The sequence below is a fragment of the Homo sapiens genome, chromosome 7, assembly GCF_000001405.40.
Source record: "Homo sapiens chromosome 7, GRCh38.p14 Primary Assembly".
Taxonomy (NCBI): Eukaryota; Metazoa; Chordata; class Mammalia; order Primates; family Hominidae; genus Homo; species Homo sapiens.
Genome location: NC_000007.14, coordinates 157,582,090 through 157,598,935, shown reverse-complemented (window position 1 = coordinate 157,598,935; position 16,846 = coordinate 157,582,090). Strand labels below are relative to the sequence as shown.

At 51.6% G+C, this 16,846-nt stretch overlaps 1 protein-coding gene across 10 annotated transcripts in view, besides 2 other annotated features; it reads left to right on the top strand.

Annotated features, from left to right (window-relative positions):
• The window catches only part of PTPRN2 (protein tyrosine phosphatase receptor type N2), a 1,048,768-nt gene that overhangs the window by 988,888 nt on the left and 43,034 nt on the right, over window positions 1-16,846 (top strand). For 8 of the 10 annotated variants that reach the window (XM_047420678.1, NM_130842.4, XM_047420679.1 and 5 more), the window contains one exon: window positions 3,621-3,698. In XM_047420678.1, coding sequence (XP_047276634.1) covers window positions 3,621-3,698 — 78 coding nt within the window. Of the gene's footprint in view, window positions 1-3,620; window positions 3,699-4,046; window positions 5,015-16,846 lie in introns of those variants that run through there. The other 2 variants (XM_011516446.2, XM_017012476.2) reach the window with 2 other exon arrangements.
• Window positions 2,766-3,266: an enhancer, noted in NCBI's record as "H3K4me1 hESC enhancer chr7:157388362-157388862 (GRCh37/hg19 assembly coordinates)". NCBI's record gives its function as "activates a minimal SCP1, AML or CMV promoter by ChIP-STARR-seq in primed H9 embryonic stem cells {active_cell/tissue: H9 hESC(primed)}" and the evidence as "EXISTENCE:reporter gene assay evidence [ECO:0000049][PMID:30033119]".
• Window positions 3,336-4,535: an enhancer, noted in NCBI's record as "CDK7 strongly-dependent group 2 enhancer chr7:157387093-157388292 (GRCh37/hg19 assembly coordinates)". NCBI's record gives its function as "activates an origin of replication core promoter dependent on BRD2, BRD4, P300/CBP, MED14 and CDK7 cofactors, with strong dependence on CDK7, by STARR-seq in HCT116 cells {active_cell/tissue: HCT116}" and the evidence as "EXISTENCE:reporter gene assay evidence [ECO:0000049][PMID:35650434]".

Sequence of the window (16,846 nt, the reverse complement as noted above, 5' to 3'; positions counted from 1 at the left end):
CTGGATTCTCTGTGGTACCGGCCTCTCTAGGCGGGATGTGTTGCTGCAGAAGCCCCTGTCTGGGGAGAAAGCGCTCAGAAATGACCGCACCTCGCCATTCAGATGCTTGGCCCCGCACACCACTGGAGGACACAGCAGCTCTGTGCTTGAGGAAGCAGCATCCTTCCTTCCTTCTGTGGTTCACTGAGGACAGCATGGACGCGTGTTCACGGGCCGCAGACCGCCTGACAGCTTGGCGTTCACCTAATAAATTTACAGGTTTTCACGGACAGTTTCGGGATGACCAACACCAGGACACACACATACACACAGACGAGTCTGCACATGCACGTGCACTGGAATCCAGAGCTAAAGGACACTTAGAAACCGCATCATCCAAGCTCCTCACTCCCTGAGCTCACCCACCATACAGATATGGAGACTGAGGCCCGGAGACGCCGACGTCCAAGCTCCTCACTCCCTGAGCTCACCCACCATACAGATATGGAGACTGAGGCCCGGAGACGCCGACGTCCAAGCTCCTCACTCCCTGAGCTCACCCACCATACAGATACGGAGACTGAGGCCTGGAGATATGACAGGCCTTTTCCCACAGCCGGGCAGTTTGTGTCGGGAACATAACAGTCATACAAATAAAAAGTATGTTGCAATGAAATGGAAAGTCATGAGTAGGAGGCGAAGGGTAAGAATGAAGACCGGAGGAAGCCAGAGTAGGTGCCGTGTGATCGCTGGGTGGGGAAGACAGAGGGACACACACCCACCATGTCCGGTTGTCACGCAGATGCCCTCATTGGAAAAAGCAATGTTAGTAGAAACTCACTTGATTTCCTCCACAGCCACTTATCCTGCCCGAAAACCTTAAATGTAGTAAAATCTCTGTGTGGCCAGTTAAGTATTTGCTTGACTTTTCCTCGAAGCCTGCGTGAGACCACAAGGAGGCTGCCTGTGGCCTTTGCAGTTGCTGCTTCCACAAAATCCTTCTGCCCAGAATAATTTTCTGTTCAACAGAATGTGCCTGGAATTAAATGAATGTAATTGTCTCCTGAATTATTGTGAAACCGATGACACATGTCACCACTCGGATCATCATGCTGTTCCCGCCTTCCCAGTGGCCCCCACAGGACGGCAGGTGGGCGGGAGGGAGGTGAGGCCGGTCCCCACTCAGTCTGCACAGCCCACACTTCCTGTTCAGCCATCCCCCTCCCAGCACCCTGACTGTATTTGCTCCTGTCTTAGGCATTGGAGCAGGTGATGGGTGTGTGGACTTTAGGACACCTTAACAACTCAGACCTAAATCAACAGTCACCTTATCGACCCTCCTGCAACCCTGTCCAGCATTTTACTTTCAATCACCTATTTCTCATTTTGAAAGCAACTAAATGTGCTAGTTTGAACATGCTTACAATTTTAAAATGTGTTGCTGTAGAAATTGCTCTGGGCAAAAAAAAAAACACACACACACACATTTCAGAAGGAGGCGGGGCTTTCCTTTTCATGCATTACTATTTGCAAGGAAGAGACAGGGGTCTCTGTAAATAGCTGTCACCCCCAACAAATGCATATTTCAAAAAATCAAAACTTATTTCTGCTAAGCATTTTTCTACTGAAACATTCTAATTGGGGCTTTCAGCGACGGTAACATAATTTTACCTGTATTGTGTGTGTTGTGGCGAATTTCAAAACGAGGTCCAGTTTTAATTACGAATCACTAAATCAGATGCACAAAAAGCTTTTCTCCCTGCTTCCCCCCAGCCCCCGGCTAGCGTCACCGTGTTGTTCTGTGAGAATAACTTACATCTGTTCCTTTATGCTCGCCCCTCTTTTATGGTGAACATAATTATAAGGTGCATTTGGTGCCTTCTTTTGTGCTGACAGCCATCATCTCTGGGGCTGGTGACGGCTGCACGGGGACTCACTGGCTCGCTGTTAAAGAAAACGTGCCCCACGTCAGCTTCCCAAATGCAGCAGCACTTAAGGTAGCACCGGGGCCACCACTGATGTCCTCGTGCGTTGGCTTAAAATTGCATAGGGTTAAAATTTGCTCATTTTTCACTGTGTTGAGAAATGTTTTCTTAATAATTACCTTGAAATCTGAACATTGTAAATCTCGAATCAAACCCTGATAGCAAAAGAGTCCATTTTAGTCCTAGACACAATAGAAGAAAGGACTGTGCGTCAGATGCACAAGCGGCTGCCTCCCCAAGGTGAGGTTCCCCCAGCGCAGCATCCGGCTCTCCGGGGGTCGGTCTCTGCAGATGCTTCTGGGAGGTGTGGGGAGGAGCTGGTGAGCCCTGGGGATGATAGTGATGTCCTGGTATCTTCGTGTCCTTTGCAGGGTGGCCTGGGCTTGCCCTCTGGAAGACAGAACCACCTCCATCTGACGCCCCTCAGCAATGTGCTCAAATCTCGCTTGCCTCTCAAGGCTTTGTCCTCAAGTTCTTTTTTCTGTGCTTAATCTTCGAAATAAATGTAATAATTATGGTCTTCTAAGCCAACCTTCTCCCATTGGAGCTAGCAAGATGCGTTCGGACAAACTGGGGAGCCGGAGAGCCCACACCTGCCCTCTTTGTTTCTGGTCCCTGCCTGGTGGGGAAACAGAACAGGAGGCCACTCCCAGCAAGGCCCTTCCGCCCCGGCTCTGCCACAGACCCAGGCCCAGGCTGACCGGCTGTGCCTGTGCCCCCTTTCCAGGATACACAAAAACAAGCCCCCACACACAACGAGTTAACTCCAGCAGGGAAGCAGCAGGTAGCGCTAGTTCGTTCTCCCAGGACGCTGGCAAGTTTGTCCATGAGGCCTGGAGGAACCCTGTTCACACTCTCCATTGAGAGCTTGGAGCTCAGCCTCACCCCAGCCAGCCCTGTGGCTCTAGCAAGAGGCTCGTTCTCCTGAACACAGGGCAGCCTGGGTGGGCTCCGTGGCCAGGAAGCTCTGGGGTCACTTGCAGGCTGGAAAGCTCATCCATGTCATGGGGTCGCACCTGCTGAGTGGGCTAACAACGGCTGCCTGCCCTCCTTGGGCTACTGGTCTTCATTTCTGTTGATGCTGCTCTTAGAACCTCAACCTCAGGTATAAGGAAAGCATTTCAGACGCAGTGGTTCAGGCTCAAGGCTCGGGACAGCTGGGTCCCTACCTGTGCCGGGTGCTCGTTTGAATCAACAAAGGGCAAGTTGTGTGTTGCTCAGTTCAGGAGATGCCACCTTTCCCTCTTCCTGAACCCAGGCTCTGCTTCCTGGCTTCCTAACCTCCAGGCTCCCTAACCTCTGGGCTCCCTAACTTCCGGGCTTCCTAACCACCAGGCTTCCTAACCTCCTGGCTTCCTAACCTCCGGGCTTCCTAAACACCAGGCTTCCTAACCTCCTGGCTTCCTAACCTCCAGGCTTCCTAACCTCCTGGCTTCCTAACCTTCTGGCTTCCTAACCTCCGGGCTTCCTAAACACCAGGCTTCCTAACCTCCTGGCTTCCTAACCCCCAGGTTTCCTAACCTCCGGGTTTCTTAACGTCCTGGCTTCCTAACCTCCGGGTTTCCTAACCTTCTGGCTTCCTAACCTCCAGGCTTCCTAACCTCCAGGCTTCCTAATCTCCTGGCTAACCGCTGTGGTGTGGTCTTGTCTCTGCAGATGGATCACGACCCGAGGAACCCCGCGTACATCGCCACCCAGGGACCGCTGCCCGCCACCGTGGCTGACTTTTGGCAGGTGAACATTTTTAAATTAAAATCTCTCTTTCTGAAAAGAAGATCTCAATAACTGGGTCACGAATCATGTCTTGAATCTGATTAGGCCAATCAAACTTCTTACAAATGCTCATCAAATGTTACTTATATCAGAATTTCAGTCTGTTCATATTTTTTATTATCAATCTTTTGTTTTCCAAAACTTGAGTATGAAAAAATTCCCTTTGAGAGATTTAATGCTTTCAAGATCATTACTTTTAAGCCACTTTACATTTGCATTTTATAAAACAGCGAGGATAAAGTTAGTAAGTCATTCCATGTTATTGAAATGTGCCTGTTGTCCATGGCGTTGTTATGATGGCGGTCACAGCAGGACCCAAGTACATCCTCTGTCATCCTCTCCTGGAGTCCTGTAGGGCATCTGAAGGCCAGGCCGTGCTTCTCTACTCGACGCAAGCCCAGGTCACACAGATGAAGGCACAGACGTGAGGGCTGACGTGAATGTCAAACATCAGCAAATAGAGCAACATGCAGAGGGCAGGTGGGGTCTTCCTTCTCCAGCTGCCCCCGGGTCTCCCCTCACCAGCCACGTGACAAAGCTGAATAGGAATGGGTTCTGGAACCTGGAACGTGGCCGTGAGTTACCGCAGGAGCACAGGCACCGGCCGCGTGTCGGGCACACCAGCCAACCCCGAGCCTGGCAGAGAGGAGCTCCTAAGGAGAGTCGAGCTGGGGACGAAGGTGGGAAGCGACGCGTCACCCATGCGGCAGAATCCAGGCAGGGAGGTGCCTGTCGCAGCAGTGACGCTGGGATCAGGCTGCAGCCTCCTGGCGATCCACAGCCCGGGCCTCCTGGTGATCCAAAGCCCGGGCCTCCTGGCGATCCACAGCCCGGGCGCCTGTGCAGCACTGGGGTGAGACATTTCCTGATGTCGCTGTGCACCGGAGTTGGTAAATTCACTTCTGCCCCAGGCTCTTCCTATTCCCTTTACTTCCCTTTCCTGGCTTTCCCGTCAGCCTCGCGTGACTCCGATTACAGGAAGGGGAGCCTCCTCTCTCTGCCCTTGAGAACAGTCTCTGCAGGGCTTTCCAGAAAAGTCTGGAACAGATCCGGGTTTCCGAGGGCCTCCGAGCACCCTTGCATGGTGAGCATTTGAATCCTCAGGTGCCATCATCCCATTTTATGGGCAAGGCACATGGGTATTGGAGAGATGGCATCACTTACCCAGGACAGCTCGGATGACGCCAGGATCTGAAACACATCGGTATGACCTCCTGCCCTTTGTGTCTGCCTGTGTCTTCACACTATTGAAAATAAATAAATAAAACTAAACTGCATCTCTGTGTGACGTTGTTGAAGCTTGTAATCCCGGCATGGCACGGCGAACCTGTGGCACTTGGATGGTTTTGGGGGCACTTGGGCTCCCTACTTGTCACAGCTGGGGAGTCGCCCAGCCCGGTGAGAACATGCCTTTCCCAGAGAAGATGGCACCCTGGGGCCCATCGTCTCAGGAGTTTCGTGGTAGGAAGGTCTTTGCATGGCACACACCTGCCTTCCTGAAACATGGACCCATCCGTCCCAGCGCTGCCCTTAGAATGGAGCCCCAGGGCCCTTCCAGGGATGCCCCCTGCTGTGCACGCTCACCCCGGCTTCTCAGGGAAAAGGACAGAGTGTTCAGAATTGGAGGGCGGGCAGAGAATACCCACGGAGTCCTAATACCACTGGAGTTTTCATCCACCTCAACCCATTACCCAAAATGTGCTTATTTGTGTGGCATGGGGTGCCCCCAAATATGTGTTCTTTCATTTTTATGAGCCCTTGGGCCCCCACAGCCCAACATCAACTTCATCTCCTCACCTGTGCAAGACTTCTCTGTCCAGCAAAGCCACAGGGTCTGGAGGGCATCCACACTCAATGACCACGATGATGCCCACATCCACCCTCTGTTCAGCAGGTGCCACATCCACCCACCATCCTGTGTGAAGGCTCTCGGTGTCCACGCGCAACAACCATGATGATGCCCACATCCACCCTCGGTTCAGTAGGTGCCACATCCACCCTCCGTCCTGTGTGAAGGCTCTCGGTGTCCATGCTCAACGACCACGATGATGCCCACATCCACTCTCAGTTCAGCAGGTGCCACATCCACCCTCCATCCTGCGTGAAGCCTCTCGGCATCCACACTCAACGACCACGATGATGCCCACATCCACCCTCCATTCAGCAGGTGCCACATCCACCCTCCGTCCTGCGTGAAGCCTCTCGGCATCCACACTCAATGACCACGATGATGCCCACATCCACCCTCCATTCAGCAGGTGCCACATCCACCCTCCGTCCTGCGTGAAGCCTCTTGGCATCCACACTCAACGACCACGATGATGCCCACATCCACCCTCCATTCAGCAGGTGCCACATCCACCCTCCGTCCTGTGTGAAGGCTCTCGGCATCCACGCTCAACGACCACAATGATGCCCACATCCACCCTCGGTTCAGTAGGTGCCACGTCCACCCTCCGTCATGTGTGAAGCCTCTCGGCATCCATGCTCAACGACCACGATGATGCCCACATCCACCCTCGGTTCAGCAGGTGCCACATCCACCCTCTGTCCTGTGTGAAGGCTCTTGGCGTCCATGCTCAACGACCACGATGATGCCCACATCCACCCTTGGTTCAGCAGGTGCCACATCCACCCTCCGTCCTGTGTGAAGCCTCTCGGCGTCCACACTCAACGACCACGATGATGCCCACATCCAACCTCCGTTCAGCAGGTGCCACATCCACCCTCCATCCTGTGTGAAGGCTCTCGGTGTCCACACTCAACGACCACGATGATGCCCACATCCAACCTCCGTTCAGCAGGTGCTGGGTCCTACATGAAGCTCTCACATGCTGACCTGTAGTCTCTGTGGTCCGTGAGACTCAGAGGCTCATAGCGTGCCCAGATTCCTGTGGCTAGTGAATAGAAGGCGTGAACCATTTTTCTTACTGTTTATTATGGATAGTTGCAATTGTTGGAGGCAATTCATTTGATCAGTGTTTACATCTTATGGGCTATTTTAGAGTGATAATCAAGGAGCATATATTCTTGAAATTGAAATGATGCATCTCTGTATGAAATAAGTAGAGACAAATTTTAAAGCAAGGTGAAATGCAAGATAATTTTGAGACACATCTCGGACAGCAGGTATCAGGTGGTTCCAGGAAACCCCAGCGTCCCTCAACCTGGTCACAGCTTTTCTAAGACAAGAGCTCATGGCCAGTAGCCTCAGCCCTCCCAGGATGTTCTCGAGCATGCCAGCCGAGCAGAGCCTCTGAGAAATTGTGAACTAAAGAAACTCGCTTCATTTTGCTCCCTGCAGACGTCCCTGACCACGACGTCATTGCTTCCACGTCATCCTTCAACCTGGGGATCCCTCTGTGCAGAACACAGGAGCTGCCCACCATCGATGCCATAAATCCACACAGAGCAGGATGGAGGAGAGTTGCTTCCTAGCACAGTCACATTTGCCTGGGAGGCCTCTAAACCGTGTGTTTTAGAATGTCAGCATCTCTCAGGCGTTGTTCTTCATTGAATACTTACCAGTAAGCCCCAAGATTGACATTCTTAAAAATTCAAAGTTAGGGTTCTCTTTGCCCTCTCTGGCTTAGCAGAACGCAGGCAGAGGAAGAACACCTGTCTTTAAAACCTCCCACGGAAGGCAGAACTTTTCCAAACCCACGGTAACGTGTATTTTTAAGGACAAAGGTGGATTTGAAATGCGAAGTTGGTGATGACGAAGTCAACAGGCTGAGTTGGAGTGACCGTCTCCTCCTGCATCCCCATTCTGGACCATTCTCAGATGCTGACCAAGGATCGGGACACAGACTGAAGGTTATGGATCATCCCAAAGCACCTTCCTTTTATCTCCGGCTGTTGATGCTGATCTGAAGCTCCTCCTTGGGGCAGGTCCACAGGTGTTTCTTCTCTGTCGGTAATCAGCAAATTCCAGGAAGAAAGTGTGAGCGTGAGAAAGGCCGTGATGGGAAAGATGGCCGTGTCTGCCCCAGGCCCGTGCACTCCTTGGGGGATTCGAAGTGTCCCCCTCATCTCTGCCTCCCTGTCACACAGCTTTTCCCCACCGTGGATTTATGTCAGGGTCCAAATTTCCCTCCTCTTCTAAGGATGTCAGTCATTGGACTGAGAGCTCATCCTAGCCTGTGTGACCTCACCTTAACTTGACCACATATGCAAAGACCCTATTTCCAAATAAGACCACATTCATGGGTTCCAGGTGGACATGGATTTGGGGGTACATGATTCTACCCAGTACAATGGCTAAGAAGAAAAAAGACCTTTTCCAAGCAGCTAATTGGCACCCACATGACATGGTGATGGGTCAGGAGTCCGTTTGGAGGTCACTGGGCTGCTGGGAGGCAGAGGAGCCAGGAGGGCCCCAAGTTCCTCAGCAAGAAATGCTGTACAGGGGCCCATGGGTCCAGAAGGGGGGAGCCTGGAAGACGGGTTCAGGGGAAGTCCCCTCGGTGAGCATGGGGCATCGAGGTCACTCCATGCTCACCAGCCTCTCCCCCAGCATGGCACCGCGAGGCCCCATCAGCTCCCCGTCCCGCAGGGCCCACAGCACCTCTGTCCGTGCTGCGTCCCTGAGCAGAGCCCAGAACGTGCACGAAAATCCACGGAGGGTCACCACTCACTGCACACATGGTGCTTTCCTGCAGTGAACCAGCTCTATATGGACACTGGATGCATTTCAAGAATTTGATTTCCAAAATTTGACTTACATCAAGAAATTCCTAAAAATAAATTCATTACCTAAAGGAAGATGTACCCCAAATTAATTCCTTGTCTGTGAGTGCTCTCCAAATCATTCGGCTGAATTCCTGGTCCTTACTCCAGCTCAGAGGGGTCTGTGGAAGTCTGAGTTACAGTTCAGAAATCAGTGTTACTAGTAAGTAGTAAACTGGCCTAGAAATAAAACATCCCTCAAGGAAAGAATACCCATTTTGGGGTGAGGGTGTCATTTTGTCATATAAACTTTTTTTTTAAAGTGTGGAACAATTTTAAAGGAAGAATGGAAAGAAAACTTAAGTATGGGCCAATCTTGTGCTACATTATTTGAAGTCATATCAAGATCTTAGGAAGAAACATGTCCACCGTCCTCTCTGCTGGTCATTCTGGGATGATATCTGGAATATGATGTTCCTTCTGCAATCATAAATTCAAAAAGGGTGCTGACATTCAAAACACAACAGAAAAAGAAGCCAGAGAGTTTGGTGGAAACAGCCGGGGTGGTGAGAGTTTTGAAAATCACTGCAGGAGGCAGAAAAAGCCGTCCTCGGCATAGAGCACCACCCACAAGCTCCCTCTTCATCCACGCCGCCGCTGTCAGCCCAGACGTCACAAGGAAACTTGGCCTCGGCTGGCGTCTGGACTTGGTGGTGCGTAAAACTTTCTTTTTAAAATCCTAATTTTCTTTTTAAATCCTAAACTTTCTTTTTAAAATCCTAATTTAAATCTGAAGAAGGGTTAAGAATATTCTAATAAATTTTAAATTAGGAACACGAGTTTGGCTGTGAGGTTTTACTGTTTTGTTCAATGCTTCTAAATAAGGAGTCTTAACACCTCATACCCATCCGTTGACACCCCCAGGCGTTGAGCTCTGGTTGCTGTCAACAAGCCGCTTAGGGAGGAGGCTGAATATCAGGAAGGAAGACGAGAGGAGGAGGCAGGTCTCCATGGTCCACTCCTGGATCCCTGCGGCTTTGGGTACCTGTCAGATAGCCTTTCTCTAGAAAGCCTTTCTCTAGAAAGTGTATTTTAATCTGCAAAGACGCCTCCCACCTGCCAAATGGGGCCACCTTGAGTGAAAGACACGCACCCATTGGAGGGGACATTCGAGTCCAGTGGGCATAAGGAAAGGGGGCTGGGGGAAGAAAGGAAGTCCCATTTACTGAGCTCTTCAATGCCAGGCCCTGGGCAGGCACTTCCCATATGGGATCTCATTTGGCCGAGCCATTGACCCTGCGATGAAGCCATCGTGAGCCTCCCATCATTCCACCTCATGGGGTCCCCGGAGGCGTCAGATTCATAGAAGCCTAGTATGAATCTAGGGGGTAGTAGCCAGGGGCTCAGGGAGGGGACAGTGCAGAGGGGCTTGATGGTGACAGGGCTTCCATTTGGGAAGATGAGAATGCTCTGAAGAGCGTGGTGACGGTGACGGTTGTAGAACGGTGGGAAGGCCCTTACTGCCGCTGCACTGTGCACTTACAAACGGTAAATTATATGTTAGGTATCTTTTACTACAATTAAAATAGAGATATACAGAGTGAGCCCAATTCTACCCAGGATGAAGCTGTGGCCCAGAGAGCCATAAGGACCCACCCAGATCCACACAGCTGGTGGGAGGCAAAGCCCATTCTAGACCCAGACATGTGTAGTGCCAGGGTGTCTCTTCAGCATACACACTCCTCACAGATAAAGAAGGCACAGTGACATGAAGACGTCTCTATAAACAGAAAAGAGAGATCCGGCAGCAGTGACCTCGGCATTTCCAGAGTAGGTGTTGTTTACAAAAATACACGTGTGCAGAGTCTCAAGGCGCAGAATATGTGAAAGTCAAAGTCCTCAGAGACAGGAGATAAAGTGACGCTTTCTCCAGGTGCCGAGACTTCCCCACGGGGAAGCAAGGTCTGCACCTTCCCGGGGACGTGGCCCCACAGTGCGTCCCCAGCCCAGTCATGTCCTGGTGCACAGGGCAGCTGTCGCAGAGAAGCCCCCGCAGGCAGGACTGTAGCTGGATCACAGAGAAGCCCCTGCGGGCAGGACTGTAGCTGTAAGATTAGGACTGCCGGGGAGGCAGGGGAGGGGCCGCGGGCATCGATATTCCATCACGGACCACCTCCCTACTGCCTGCACCTGCTGCGCCACCTTCTACCACACCCTGTGCTACGCGGCTCGAGTCAACCGAAGGGAGTTGGCCACCCGCCATCCCCCCTTTCCTATTTTTAGAAAGAGCTGCAGAATTATGTGCTCTTCTTCCAGAGAGAGCTTCTGTGTGTCACCACCAAACACTGGCTGTGCCCAGGAGATACACAACAGCTGTTTCTAAACCAGAAATGTAGGCAGCATAGTCTGTCACCATCAGGTGCGGAGTGGATGTCTGCAGATGTGACATGGAAAGCCAGGGCCCTGGAGCCCAGGCACAGGGACAGCCACCACGGGAGCCCAGGCACGGGGACAGCCACCGCGGGAGCCCAGGCACGGGGACAGCCACCGCGGGAGCCCAGGCACGGGGACAGCCACCGCGGGAGCCCAGGCACGGGGACAGCCACCGCGGGAGCCCAGGCACGGGGACAGCCACCTTGGGAACCCAGGCATGGGGAGAGCCACCACGGGAGCCCAGGCATGGGGACAGCCACCGTGGGAACTGGCTCCCTGTATGGGAGGCTCAGCCAAGAGGACAACTCCAAAGTTCAGCCTTGCCTCTCCTGTCTGATGAACAGGCTGCCTTTCAGGACAGAGTCAGACACGAAACAGCTCTCCTGGCCCCCAGAGAGAGCACAAAGCGCTCGCTGAAGTCAGCAGGTGTCCCACTGGCATCGGATGTGTGTTGACTCTTATTGCACATCAACATTTTACCAAGAAAAAGGTGCACTTTCAATTTCTAGTTTCTGCTTTCTAAAAGTATTCTGTGATGAAGCCTCAGCTGGGGGGATATGTTTTCTCATTTCCAAATTGATAGGCTTGATGTAAATACAGCTTTTTATTATTTGGCATCTGTAGATCATAGTTCTTACTATGGTTAAGAAAAAATCCTGAACTTGGAACTGTGGAAGACCCAAAGAATTTAACGGTGTTTCCTTCCAACTGCCTGCCAGCCACCGGTGACAAGGCCGAGGTGCAGGAGAATGACAGTTGACAGCTGACTGTCACCGTGCAGGGCCGCCCACCACCCGGCACCAGTGGCTCGTCTGCCTGTCTGCCTGTTTGTCTGCCTGTCTGTCTGCCTGTCTCGCTGTCTGCCTGTCTGCCTGTGTGTCTTGTCTCTGTCTGCCTGCCTGTCTTGTCTCTATCTGCCTGTCTTGTCTGTCTGCCTGCCTGTCTGCCTGTCTGCCTGCCTGTGTATCTGCCTGTCTGCTGTGTCAGCTACTGCACTAGTCCAGGCAGGGGTGGGTGGGAAGATGGCAGGCCTGGATTCCACACCATGCACTGTCTCTGGGCAGCTTCCTTGATCAGCCCAGGATGACCACTGCAGGCATCACCATCAGCACCACCAGCAACCAAACCTCAGAGCATCCAGAGATGACCCTGGCCTGGCCCCGGTGGAGGGGATGGTCCTACACCACCTAATTTTTAAAAACATTTAAATCCTCCAAAGATGGCATCCGCTCAGCCCGAGCTGGTTCACGGCCCCCAGCTACTCACAACTGTTTTAATGTTCCCTCGGCATGTGGGAGGCAGGGCCCTGAGTGTCCCGGACAGACCGAGTGTCCAACAGCGGGGACCCTGAGCATCCAGGACAGACCCAGCATCCAGCAGCGGGGCCCCTGAGTCTCCAGGACAGGCCCAGTGTCCAGTAGCAGGGGGCCCTGAGTCTCCAGGACAGACGTGGCGTCCAGCAGCGGGGGCCCTGAGTCTCCAGGACATACCCAGCATCCAGCAGCAGGGGCCCTGAGTCTCCAGGACAGACCCGGTGTCTGGCAGCCTCTCCTTTCTCGTCAGATGTGTCCAGCCTGGGACCACGGTGTCTGCTCTGGGTCCTTGGTTACCTTAAGTGGTCTGGCTCCAAAAGCATGAGAATGTCCCCCAGTCCCTGCAGCTCCCTAGTGTGGGTGAAGACTCAGCTTGCTCATCATCCTGTTCCACCCCCTGGACAGTGACTGGTGCGAGAGGGAACCGTCTGTGGATCTCACTGACTCTGGAGTGAAGGGAGAGTCAGGAGGTTAGCGGGGGGAAATGACTTCAGAGGCTGCTACGTCACAGATGGGTTGATTTTAAGGCACGTTACTTGATTAAAGGGAAGCATGAGAGTTGTGTTAATTCTTAGGAATTAACATGAGAGTTGTGTTCATTCTTAATTTCTTAGGAAAAACTTGATTTTTCATTTCCATGATTGATAAGTACTTTAACCACATGCCTGAGACTTTCCAGGACATTGTTATATTTCAAAGGTTTGGTCTTGCTGGATTTTTTTCTATTCATAAATTCACGAACCTTTAAAGGTGAAAGAAACTGTTTCTCACGTTGCCTTATCTAAATTTTGGGTTTGAAACCTATGACCTCAAAGCTTGTCCATGGTTCTGCCTGGGACAGTGCAAAGATGGTCGGTCAGTCTCTCGCCGCACACATGCGGAATTTAAAATGGGACTCAAGTAGAAAGGACAGGTCCGGCTTTCCTTTCTGACTGATTCTTACTGCTCCAGCTGAGAACAGCAGGCTCTGCTGCTCCTGTGTGTGATTGGTTCCCAGCCTCCGGCCAGCTCCTCCCATCCCCACTCCTCCTCCCCTCTTCCTCTTCCTCTTCCTCTCTTGCTTCACAACTGGATCTGATGCATTTATGTCAGGTCCTGATCTTGAAAAGGAAAGGCCGCCCAGTGCAGCAGCTCCCCGCAAGGAGACCAGGCGCATATTTAACCGGGAACGTGAGCACAGGCAGAGGCCACAGGGAGTCTCAGTGACGCCTGTGCCAGGTGACTTCCTGTGCGGGTCCAATGCCTGATCACAAAGGCACCCACGGTGGTCACACAAAGGCCGGGTGGAGAGGAAGTCCAGTGTGTGAGTGCATTCCCACCGTGGGAACCCCTATGCGGCAGGATGGCCACACCAAGCCACACGGGGTCTGCTTGCACACAAGCAGGCTGAGTCCTTCCCGGAGAACACAGACCCGACTTTGGTGGAGTGGCAAGTCCTCATTCTGAGGCTTCCCCTTCCTCCTGGGCAGCAATACTGCTGGTGTTCTGAGGCTTCCCCTTCCTCCTGGGCGGCAATACTGCTGGTGGAAAAGTCCCAGAGGTTGCTGCAGCTGCTCCTCAGCCCTGGGATGGGGCTACAAGGCAGCACAGGCGTCGATCTGATAGCGGCACAGGGGGGTTCCTCCCGCTGCCCCCTCATCAGCCTTTCCATCAGCACTGCTGACGTGTGTGTGGGCTACGTCACCTCATCGTGTCATCCCTAAATGAATCCCACACTGAGATATTTGTTTACTAAAAAAAAGCCAGGTAGGTGCACCATGAGCTGGTCATGGACGGCATCACGAAGGTTTTGTCACCCTGCGTTGGGTTATATTACCGTGTCCAAATGTGCGTGCTGTGGCCTGGAGCCTGTGACTCTCTCGGAACCAGAGCCGCAAAGCCTGAAGCTTCATTTCTTAGGACTGTCCTCTGGGCAGGGTGAGAGCAGAGCTGAAGGTTTCCCCTGCAAAAGATGTCACACACACTATTTCTTCCTCTTTAATCTGTCTCAGACCACACAGTTTAACTTCCAGGCATCGGTGAGCTCCTAAGGAGTGAAATACGAGTGTTTTCCCATTAACTGACTCCTCATCCTTTTAAATTTAGCTGCATCTTCTTTATAAGTCTAAACCTCTGTTCAGCCCACGAGAGGACGCTCACAACAGAAATGAGCAGAAATGAGCTGTGCAGCAGAATTGCGTGGGCCCCGCACCTGCTCTGGAGGAAATGCATCTTCATGGCAACCGCTTCAGCGGGATGCAGTTACCATGCTTGTTTTTTTAAAAACTGAACACTTGTCTGTACATTTAAGCAAGTCCTGGAGGACTTCTGCCATGCAAGCCTTTGATAACATTTTCTTTCGGTTATCTTTTTTTTTACATAAATATCCAAACGGCCTCTTAGAAATGTGAATTGTTTTCAATGAAGCATCTGTTAGATGCCATGGAGGGTAGAAAAGGTAACTGGACTAGGATGGAGTCTTTAAAGAGATGATAGTCTGGTAGAGGAAAGACATACGGGCTAAAGACAAGACTAACACAGGCAGGAAGGGACTCATCACAAAAGATCTAAGTAGAAGGAGGAGAAGCTTTCCTCCTGAAGGGGCCCAGGGATGTTTTGTAGAGAAAATGGCCTGGCGTTTCACTATTTCAGTTTTTTGTTTTGTTTTTCAGAGATGGGATCTCACTATGTTGCCCAGGCTGGTCCTGAACTCCTGGGCTCAAATGATCCTCCCACCCACCTCAGCCTCCCAACTAGCTGGGACTACAGGTTCACACCACCACATCCAGCTCCAGTGTTTCACTATTTCAGATTGATCATCTTCCCTTAAATCAGGTCTCTGTGGGGCTTCAGGAGAGCTTATTTTAAGAGTGTGTGTGTGTGTGTGTGTGTGTGTGTGTGTGTGTGTGTGTGTGTGTGTGTTTGAGACAGAGTCTCGCTCTGTCACCCAGGCTGGCGTGCAGTGGCATGATCTCAGCTCACTGCAACCTCTGCCTTCCAGGCACAAGCAGTTCTCCTGCCTCAGCCTCCTGAGTAGCTGGGATTACAGCACCCACCAACACACCTGGCTAATTTTCTATTTTTAGTAAAGACAGGGTTTTGCCATGTTGGCGAGGCTAGTCTCGAACTCCTGACCTCAAGTGATTCGCCTGCCTTGGCCTCCCAAAGTGCTGGGATTAGAGGTGCGAGCCCCTGTGCCCGGTCGAGTTGTTTTTAATTGTAAATGTTTAAGGTGTACAGCCTGATGTTCTGACACACGCAGACATCGTGAATGATGACCACAGTCAAGCTAATGAATACACGTCTCCTCGCGTAGTTACCGTTTCTTTGTGTGTGGTGAAGCACCTGAAGCCTACTCTCCTGGCAAATCTCTGTGCCCAACACTCTTATTAACTACAGTCACCATGCTGAATGCCAGGTCTCCAGAATTCAGCTGTCCTCTACTGGAAGTTACTACCTTTGGATCAATTGCTCCCCATTCCACCCTCAGCCCCAGGCCCTGGCAGCCCCCCTTCTACTCTGTCCCTGAGTTCGTCCTTTTTAGGTGCCACATGTGAGTGAGATCATGGGGTGCCTGTCCTTCTGTGTCCGGCTTATTTCAATTTAACGTCGTGTCCTCCAGGTTCATCCATGTTGTCAAAAATGACAGGAGTTCATTCTTTCTTAAGGCTGAATAATATTTCATTGTGTATATACCACATTTTCTTTAGCCATTATCCATTGACAGACATGTGGGTTGTTCCAAATCTTGTTTATTGTGAATAGTTCTGCAATAAACAAAGGGGTGCTGATGTCCCTTCCACACACTGATTTTATTTCCTTTGGGTCTATACCCAGAAGTGGGATTGCTGGATCACACAGTGGTTCTGTGTAATTGTTTGAGGCTCTCCATACTGGTTTTATTGTTTTTTTTGTTTTGTTTTTTTTTTTTGAGGTGGAGTTTTGCTCTTGTTACCCAGGCTGGAGTGCAATGACACGGTCTCGGCTCACTGCAACCTCCGCCTCCTAGGTTCAAGAGGTTCTCCTGCCTCAGCCTCCTGAGTAGCTGGGATTACAGGTGCATGCCACGATACCCGGCTAATTTTTGTATTTTTAGTAGAGATGGTGTTTCACCATGTTGGTCAGGCTGGTCTCGAACTCCTGACCTCGTGATCCACCTGCCTCGGCCTCCCAAAGTGCTGGGATTACAGGTGTGAGCCACCGTGCCTGGCCCTCCATACTGTTTTCTGTAAAGGCTGCCCTCACTCACATTGCTACCGTATAGTGTGTAAGGTTCCGTCTCTTCCACATCCTCTCCAACACTTGCCATCCCCCTCTTTTCGGTGGCAGCCATCCCAACAGGCACGAGGTGCCAGTGCGCTGTGGTTTTGATTTGCATTTCCCTGATGGCTGATGACATTCAGCCCCTTTTCACATACGTGCGGGCCATTTGTCTGTCTTCTTTGGAGAAATGTGTGCTCAGATCCCTTGCCCATTTTTAGTTGGGTCATTTGTTTTTTTGTTTGTTTGCTAATTAAATACTTAGCACTCAAAAAGGACCTAGAGTGAAGAGGCCCTGTGTTCCTCTCCATCGGTGTTGATAGGAAGCGTAGGCGGGGTGGCCATTGTTCCACGCCTGTGGGTGATTTGATGGGTGAAGAAGAGAGTGAGGTTGCAGCGGATGCATCTCTTGCTAGGGCTGACATCACAAGGTGCTGCAAACTCGTTGTTTTAAAA